The 9,643-nt window shown below is 33.4% G+C and overlaps 1 protein-coding gene across 89 annotated transcripts in view; it reads left to right on the forward strand.

Moving 5' to 3' along the window:
• RIMS1 (regulating synaptic membrane exocytosis 1) overlaps window positions 1-9,183 on the forward strand; it is a 516,596-nt gene extending 507,413 nt beyond the window's left edge. For all 89 annotated transcript variants that reach the window (NM_014989.7, XM_017010517.3, XM_047418419.1 and 86 more), the window contains 3 exons: window positions 4,287-4,388; window positions 4,993-5,132; window positions 6,534-9,183. In NM_014989.7, the coding sequence (NP_055804.2) occupies window positions 4,287-4,388; window positions 4,993-5,132; window positions 6,534-6,752 (461 nt within the window). In that variant the 3' untranslated portion in view covers window positions 6,753-9,183. The remainder of the gene's footprint in view (window positions 1-4,286; window positions 4,389-4,992; window positions 5,133-6,533) is intronic.

Below are 9,643 nucleotides of genomic sequence, written 5' to 3' on the forward strand. Positions count from 1 at the left end.
GAAAGCTACTTGAAGATTTACTTTGACCAAACGAACTAAACGACTTTTCAAAATTATGAACTAAAAAAAAAAAAAAAAAAGATGGAACCAAAAAACAAATGCTTCCTCACAAGGTAAATATGATTGGGATACCCAGGATGATAGCAAAGGAAGAACTAAAGATAGCTGCAGCTAGGTTTCAAAGCAGCGTTCAAATTGGGTCATGTCAGACTTCATGAGATAAAATCTATAGAATACCTAATGGGTTTGATTTTTATGGAAGAGATAAACAACCAGGAGAAACTAAGATTTGAACTAGTGAGGTCTTCATAAAAATGTAAGCAAATGCTTTTTTAAAAGATACTAATTAAGTGTAGGGAAAAAGAAGGTCTGTCTAAGAAATAAGAAGTAGTTATAATATTCTAGTTCACAAAGTTATGCATAAGGTTACATAGTCAAAATAATATAAATATTAATATTGGGAGAATGGGATGACAGAAATTGTCAAGTATGTAGTAGGGGTAGGAAGGCAGTGAAAGAGATCAAAATTGAAGTCAATAATAATATCTAAAACTGCAAAAAGGAAAATATAAGTATAGTGCTTAGAAATAAGGAGGCAAATTCCAGAAAGTAAATCAGATAAAAATATTGAAAATTTTGGAAGCAATAATTTTTGGAAGACAAGAAGTTGAGAGACAGGTAGAAGTTAGTTATGCATAAACATAACAGGTTTTATAGAACAATTGGGGATATGTGTGTGATTTAAAAAGAAATCTTTAAGAAACATTAAAAGGACAAAAAGAGAACAAAAGACTTCTAGGAACTGAGGTCTAAAACAGAATTATAAAACTAATGAATGTCTAGAACAACAAAGTTGATCAACTGACCAGACAAATAAAGAGAATCCATGCCTGAGAAAATGGAAATGATTCAACTAAGTAAAAATAACTTAGAAATTTTCAGAGATAAAGTATCATATAATCCACAGAGAAAAACACCAAGAGATTATTAAACAAAAAGGAAGTATATATTTTTAAGAAAGAAAGTTAGAGAATGGGAAATATAGTGACTTAAAATTTAAAACTCTGGATGAGCTAAATAGTATACTGAACAAAGCTTAAGATATAATTAGCTACAAGAACTATAGAATACCACCAATAACATGGCTTATATAAATTTAAAAAAATCTTTTGTAAGAGAGGAGAATTCAGGATGTAGGAAGAATAAACCAAAAAGCTCAAACTTACTCTAATAGGAGCCTAAAAAGAGAATAGAGAGACAGTTTTTGGAGAAAAATAATGATGCCTGAACTGTTTTAAGAAAAACATAAAACCTGAGAGATTGAAAGAGCACACTGAGTGGTGAACTGAACAATCTGTACAAAACAAACAAACAAGGAAAAGCTTCTTCATGCAATTTCAGGACATCATCTCAAGTCATGAAGAAGAAAAAGAAGATTACCTAAAATAAAAAACATGATGGAGAATTTCATCAGAAAACTCAAATCTTTAAGAGCCCAGTAGAAATTATAGAATTGAAAAATAAACTAAACTTAAGAATTCAATGGATGAGTTACCAGCAGTTTAGACAGAGTTGAGGAGAGAATTGGTTAATGGTTAATTGGAGGACAGAGCCATAAGAAAGTATCCAGAATTAATTGGACACATAAAATAATGGAAAATATGAATAAGAAGTTATAAGACCGAGCAGAAAAGTGAGGTCTAATATATGTCTAATTAGTCCCAGAATAGGGAAAGGAGTATAGGCCAGAAGCCATTGAAAATATAATGGTTGAGTGAGAATTATTCACATGTTTCTAGCATAAAAGAAAAAACAAATATTTAAGGTAATGATATCCCAATTACACTGATTTGATCATAACAAAGTATATGAATGTATTAAATTATCACACATACCTCAAAAATATGTACATATATTATGTACATATTATGTATCAATAAATAAAAAGTAAAATGGAAAATAGACAATAAAATGTAACAATAAAAATTATATATATAATTGAAAAATTTTCAGAACTGAAAATAAATATAGTCATACTTTCCAGAGACCCTCATGAACCCCAAGAAAAGCAAATTCAGCAATGCTAAAAATAATATTATCACAACCAAATGGGATTTTTTTTTCATGAACACATGGTTGGTTTAATATTTGAAAACTAATATAATTGATCACATTGCTGTAATAAAAAAGAAAAAATGACCATCTTAAGTATCCAAAAAAATGTTTGATAAAATTCAGTTTTAATTTATGATAGAAAATTATCAGACTGAAAATAGAGTGGAGTTTACTTATCTGTTAACGTTTCTACAAAACACACGTGTGTATGTGTGTGTGTATTTGTGTATTTGCACATCAGATTGTCCAAATTGTTTAAATCTTTTAATATAAGTAGCAAAGACATTCAGAAATATGCATTCTGATACACTACTATTAGAAGCATAATTTGGTGCAGTCACCAATTGGAATAATATGGCAGCATCTAGTAAAAATAAAAATGTAGATGTGCTGTGACCCAGCAATACAACTTCTAATTTACATATCCTCAAGAAACTCTTTGCAGCATTTTTTTGTAGCAGCACCAAATAGGAAAACCAAGACCCCTAATTGGAGAGTAGATAAATAAATATGACATTCATGTAATGGAATATTATAGAGAAATTAAAGGGAATGTCCTAGATCTCAACACATCAACTTGGATGGATATCTAAGAAAATATTACTAAGTGAAGAAGGAAAATTGCTGAATGATACCACTTATACAAATGCTTAGGCTGGACACGGTGGCTCACACCTGTAATCCCAGCACTTTGGGAGGCCAAGGCAGGCAGATCACCGGAGGTCAGGAGTTTGAGACCAGCCTGACCAACATGGCAAAACCCTGTCTCCACTAAAAATACAAAATATAGCCAGGCATGGTGGCACATGCCTGTAGTCCCAGCTACTCAGGAGACTGAGGCAGGAGAATCGCTTCAGCCCAGGAGATGGAGGTTACAGTGAGCCAAGATCACACCACTGCACTCCAACCTGGACGACAGAGCAAGCCTCTGTCTCAAATAAATAAATAAATAAATAAAGCTTAAAATTTGGAAATTTATTTAAGATGGACAGTTGTTAAAAAATATAACCTACCACAAAGAATTTAAGAGTAAATAGAAAGCTGAAAAAACCTGAGTAGAACTATAACTACCAGTATTTAACATTCTACTTACCAAAAAATGGGGAGAATACACCCAGATATTTTCACAGATGAGTTCTAATAAATATGAACTCAAGAGACATGAAAATTATGAAACAAATATTTTCATGAAATAAAAAGGAAGGGACTCATTCTAGTTGCTAATCTAATTTTGTATCAAACTATACATGGGCTACATAGTGCTCCTTAATAATCAAAGAAATGCAAATTAAAATATCGTTTTAACCAGATTGGCAAAAATTAAGCATTTTTTTGATACTGATATTAGACATATTGCTAATACCAATGTTAGAGTGTGGGAAGCAGGAAGAGCTATATTTCTGGTGATAGTGCAAACTGGAACAACCTTTCTGGAGGAGTTGGCAGTATGCATGGAATTTTTGGATGTCCATACTATTAGATATGAAAATTTAAAATCTTGGAATTTGATGTTCAAAAAATAACTGATACAAGAATGCGTACAAGAATTCTTATAAAACTGTTCATTATAACCCTATTTACATACACTGCACTATAAAATAGTTTATGTAAATAACCTTTATTTCCATCAATAGGAGTCTGATTTAATAGGTAATGACATGTCCATGCAGTAGTCCATACAGTCAATAAAATGATGGTGTATGATCATGATTGCTGATAGATAGATAAATAGATAGATAGACAGACAGGCAGAGAGATTGATAGAAGTATAAGAATGCTAGGATATTCACCAAATATTAATGGTGGCTTTCTCTGGATAATGAAAATACATATGGTTACAATTTTTTATTATATACTGGATGAAATAAGAGTAAGAAATCTTATTAAGTACAAGAATTATAGAAATACTTTAGTGTTGTTATAGTCATTTATTAACTAATTTGCAAATCTCATAAGAGGTATTAATACCAGAAAAAATAAGAGAATGGTTTCCAAATTTGATTTGGAAACTGAGAAAGAAAAGTGGATTGTGGAGTGAGGGGTCTAAATATTAGTTTCTTATCAAAATCATGAAGATAAAAATCTGTAGTCTGTTACGGGCTCTCCTTTTTGTTTTAACTGCACATAACTGCAAAGAAGCTGAAACACATCTTGCTCCTTTCCATTTGCAGGTGATATACAAATAGGAATGGAGGACAAAAAGGGCCAATTAGAAGTGGAAGTCATTAGAGCACGAAGCCTCACACAAAAGCCTGGTTCCAAATCTACACCTGGTAAGGAGAAGTATTCCTGAATTTGGTGAAGGGACTATTTAATAGGCAAACAAATAAAAACATTTGCTGCATTTGAATTTCATATGCTCTGTTTTGCATCATCTGATTGATTAAAAAAGCAGTGTTTCTGTGTTCTTTGATGTTATTAAAACGGATTTGGGTTTTCCTTGCACAGTTATTCTTTCAGAAGGTGTTAGGAAGTATGTTATAATATTTTTTTTAAAGTTTAGTTATGGTCGTTTCTTAGCTTGTGTCAATTATTTTCTTTTTGCACACTTAGAAAGGCAAAAGAAAAAAAGAATATAGTTCTAATCATAAAAAGGTAACAATGAGCTTTAAGATATAAACCTGCATTGTAACCCAAGTAAGTCAAAGTCTTCAAATAACTTTGTATACATTGAGTCAAAATGAGGAAAATGGCAGTAATGGTAACATATAGATTTAAGGAACAGAATTTATGGAGCAATGGAAATTTTAAGTAATTTAAACAGTCAATGGGAAACTTTCAGTAAGCATCTCTAATTCTCTAATAGGGAATTCTCTAATTAAAAAAATAGTTGAATTTAAGGAATAATTTCTTATATGTTAATATACCTTTGTTTAGCTCCATATGTCAAAGTATATCTTTTGGAAAATGGGGCCTGTATAGCCAAGAAGAAGACAAGAATTGCACGAAAAACCCTTGATCCTTTGTATCAGCAGTCTCTGGTTTTTGATGAAAGTCCACAGGGTAAAGTTCTTCAGGTCAGTAATAGTTTGTTTGGCTTTTTACATTGAAATGTCTGTTTTACCCATACATCGAAGAGATGGTCAAACACAAAGAGAATAAAATTTGGTAAAGATAAATGTAGGATAATATTCTTGAGTAGACAAAATTCAAATGGTTAGTTTATAATATAAATAATATATAATATCAAAAATATTTGGTGGGTCTAATAGAGAACAATTTTATTTTATCTCTCTCTCTTCTTGTCTTTTCTCTCTCTATCCTCTCCTTCTAGCTTTGCCCTGTTCCCAGCCCTCCTCACTCCTCACTAGATAGATAGATGATAAATAGATAGATAGAGATATGTCCTCACTAGATAGATAGATGATAGATAGATACAGATATAGCAAACAAAACAATGTTAATAATAGTTGGTTGAGCATTGCTATATACCAAACATGGGGTACAAAGAGGAAGAGGGAGAGGAAAAGAGAAGTGTGCAGACACCAGCAAATATTGAGCCCTGGTGGAGTACCAGATGCATTTCTAGGTGCTTATATACATTATTTAAATTTTGTAACTAACATGTGCAATAAGTATCATTATCCCCATTTTAAAGATTATGTCTGAGATTCAAGAGGTAAAGTAATTTCACAAAATTACTCAGTAAATTTTAAAGACATGATTCACCACCAACTCTGCTTGTGTAAAACAGGTGAATGAGTTCAGTTGAGAACCTTTACAGACGACTGAAGTATTAGAAAATAGAACCTGGGAGTATGTGAAATGGAAGGCTTGTCTGACACTAGTAGCCAATAGAAGTTGACCTAGATTGTGGTAATTTTTAATGATCTAATTGAAATATTAATCATCTAAATCAAAATTGGCAGGCAAGTCCTCAAAAGGTACCAGCTCACAATTATTTTTTGACCTACCCCTTCACTAAAAAGACCATAATACGAAAGAAATCAAATGAATACTCTCATTCTTTGTACATACTTTCTGGTACATACATTCCATGGTATACTGAGTTGGATTGCTCATCTTGCCCTCCTAAATTGCACAAATTTTAATTTTTAGATTTTTATGGTCCTGTACATCGCTAATTAGATAGTAGTTACACAAGAAAGGTGTTGCATTCATATAAAAATACTCTTATGTATTTATTTCTTTAACATGGCTTATGTAGCTAATACTCCTCATTGACTAGGAACACACAATCCTTCATTCCATCAGACTAAAATTATTGTGAAGTGTCTATGAGCACCTTAAGGTTAGTGTATCTTCTTATCTGTGCCTTCTCCTTGGTGATAGTTGTATTCATTATTCTTTTCCTCTGCTTCACTGACTGGCCCACTTTTACAGCATAGTTGCTTTGAGCCCTTCGAATGTGAAGCAGAGAGAAGTCCAGGTAATGTTGCATTTCTCTATCTCTGCAGGTGATTGTCTGGGGAGACTATGGCAGAATGGACCACAAATGCTTTATGGGTGTGGCTCAGATCTTGTTGGAAGAACTCGACCTGTCCAGCATGGTGATCGGATGGTACAAATTGTTCCCACCGTCCTCACTGGTGGATCCCACACTCACTCCCCTCACCCGGCGGGCTTCCCAGTCATCTCTGGAAAGTTCAACTGGGCCTCCCTGTATTCGATCATAGTGAACTCATACCAGAGTCATTCCAATAAAACTCTACTTTTCAGGATAATAATCTGAACCAGATATTTCATGATCGAAAGCATTGTTGGAGACAGACAATCAACTTGTGTTTTGCCTGTAGTAGTTTTTCAATAATATGTCCCAATTGTTATTTAAAACATGGCTTCATATGACAGAACAAGGCAATCTATCAAATTTACAGGAAGAATCAACATGCTGGTGAGAGTCACTGATGCTTCTAACAAATAGAAAAAGAGGAAACTTTAAATCCACGCATACACGTACACACACACATGCACACACACACACACCAAATTGAACAAACTGGAAACTCTCACTCTGTGAAAAGTTGTATTCTACACATTTCTGCACAGACCACAAGCAGTGTTATTTCCCTGATGTTTGAGTTGTTTTGTTCTTTTGTGTGTTTTGTTTATTTGTGTGTTGTTTGTTGGTTTTCGTTTCTTGAGTTTTTGTTTTGTTTTCACCACATCTGTTATTTCCACTAGTTTTTTTTTGGCTGTGTCATGACAGGCCTCATGATGCTAACAGAGATTCTTCCCTTCTTTTTTCCAAAAGCACCAAAAAAAAGGGCTGAAGTAGTCTCTGTAGCATCTCCCCAAAGTGTTAAACAGCTACATAAGGTGAAGCCAAGGAAGGGTTTCACTAGCTTTCATTTTATAATTATTTAAAGTCTTATGTGTGGATACCCAAGAGACAAAAAGTTATCTTCCAAAATAAATAATCACAGAAGTACTTTTTTAATGAAGAGCCTATCTGTTTGCATTCTAGAAAATTAATTTATGGTTTCCATTGTTTTGCATGGAAGACTTTTAAAGAAGTCAATCTGCAACTAATGCTGGGGACTAAAACTAACTGCATAATTGTACTTTGAAAACACTCCTTGTAATGCCTTTTTCTTCCTGATATTAAAAAAATGCTCATGTGTATAAACCATACTTTGACTTCCCAAAAATGGTGACTAGGAATGGATTTGAGCCTAAGACACTTTGAGCTATGCCCAGGCTTCTCAGCCATACCTCAGTGTAGACACATCCATCTGCCCTGGAAAGAGCATGGTATGAGCTGTTCAATATTCCACTGGAAATTCCAGTTGAAATATTCTGCACTAAACTATTGTTTTTATTGAATTTTAGTTTACATTTCTTTGAGATTGATGCAAGCACAAAGCTTGATTTTTTAATGCAAAGTATCTTACTTTTTGGGGGGAAAATAAACAAAATGAACTTTCAATTTGCATTTTCATTTAGTTTCTCTTGGCCTTGAATTTCCCTTGTGACATTCTGTACATGTGCTACAAACTGCAGTCTCTGCAGGTGCATTGATATGTTCTCCCTCCTTTTATGAGTCACTCCACTTTTGTGATTACACAAATAGAGCAGCATGACTTGGAACTGTTCAGAGCTGCATGCACATTTTGTAAAAAAAAAAAATTTTAAAAAGAAAAGAAACAAAAGGTTATTTAATAATGTATGTTAGTTCCACATAGGCCAGCTTGTATGTTGCATGTACTTGTACAGTTTGCTTGTTAATTACTATACCGAAATAACCAAGAAATCTAAGCCATCCACTTTTGTTATAGACATTTTGCAGGTTTTAGCCAGACTCAGTCTCTGGGTCTGTGGTGAAATGTCTATAGATGGACTTTATTTTTTACCCTCCGGAAAACGTGATGTAGTACGGACCAAATTCCTTCTAATAAATATTTTGGTGTAGATTCCTACTGTGGGGCTGTAACACATGTAGACACTGTGTACACACTAGGTTTTAATTCATAGACATACTGCCTGCACCAAGTGAATTATTTATTATTATTTACACATGCCAGAATTATCTGCCCATCATTCCACAGGGCACAGATTGACCACTGCTCACCATGCTGAGTAGGAGGAACTGAAGCATTGGTGCACTTCTACTAGATTCCGTTCTGTCTTAGTGGCCAACAATCAACTGATTATAATTGGGTAGTATCTTTCTATTTTGACCACTTGTCTTAACACTCCCCTGTGCTTTTAAATGAAATTCCAATTCATGTATGTAAACATGTTTAATAAAATTTACTTTTCATGTCAGTCAGTAGCCATATGTGTTCTATGTCTTGCCAGATTTCCATTGTGGGTTCTATGGTGCAAAATGGGAGCCAGGCCATGGGAAGGGGAGGCTGGGGTTTGTTGTCTGCTGCGGGCATTTGACTTGACTTGTCACTGCACTATATTATGTCTTAATCGATGGCCCAAAGGGTACTTTGCATCACATACAAGTTTTCACTTCGTCAGCCTGTCTAAGTGAGCACATGACTATACTTCTGAAAAGTGGCATTATTAAAAATAATAAATCTCAGTAAGAATCAAATGGAAGGTTGTTTTCTGCTGCTGTTTGAATGTGCTAATAAAAGAGACAACTCTATTGTCCAATTGCCAAATTATTTCAAGTTACGTGACATATCAAAAAATTGATTCCTGCGTCTCTCGTCATAGTATATTTCCTCTTTCCATCTTTTTCTTCTGAACCCATGACTAATTTATATAACTTTGGTTTAGAGGAGACCAATTTAACAAAAAATAAGCACTACATTTACACTGAATTATCTTTAATAGAATCTTAGATAATAAAAGTATCTTCAAATATAGATAGATATCCAAAATAATATATTCAAAGAGACATTATTAACTTTTTAGGTTATTTTATTATTTTTTCTTACCTGAAAGTGTGCTCATGTATTTAATAATCATCGCCTCTCATGAAACACTTGGTAAGCACTACTTTCATCTTGCATTGTAGTAAAATAACTTTTGTGATCTAGTCTTGTCTTTCTAAGAGCTCTTAACTTTTTATAGACCACGCTGGCTTTAACTTGTAAAGCAAAGTAAA

Source organism: Homo sapiens, chromosome 6 (assembly GCF_000001405.40).
Source record: "Homo sapiens chromosome 6, GRCh38.p14 Primary Assembly".
NCBI classification, from domain to species: Eukaryota; Metazoa; Chordata; class Mammalia; order Primates; family Hominidae; genus Homo; species Homo sapiens.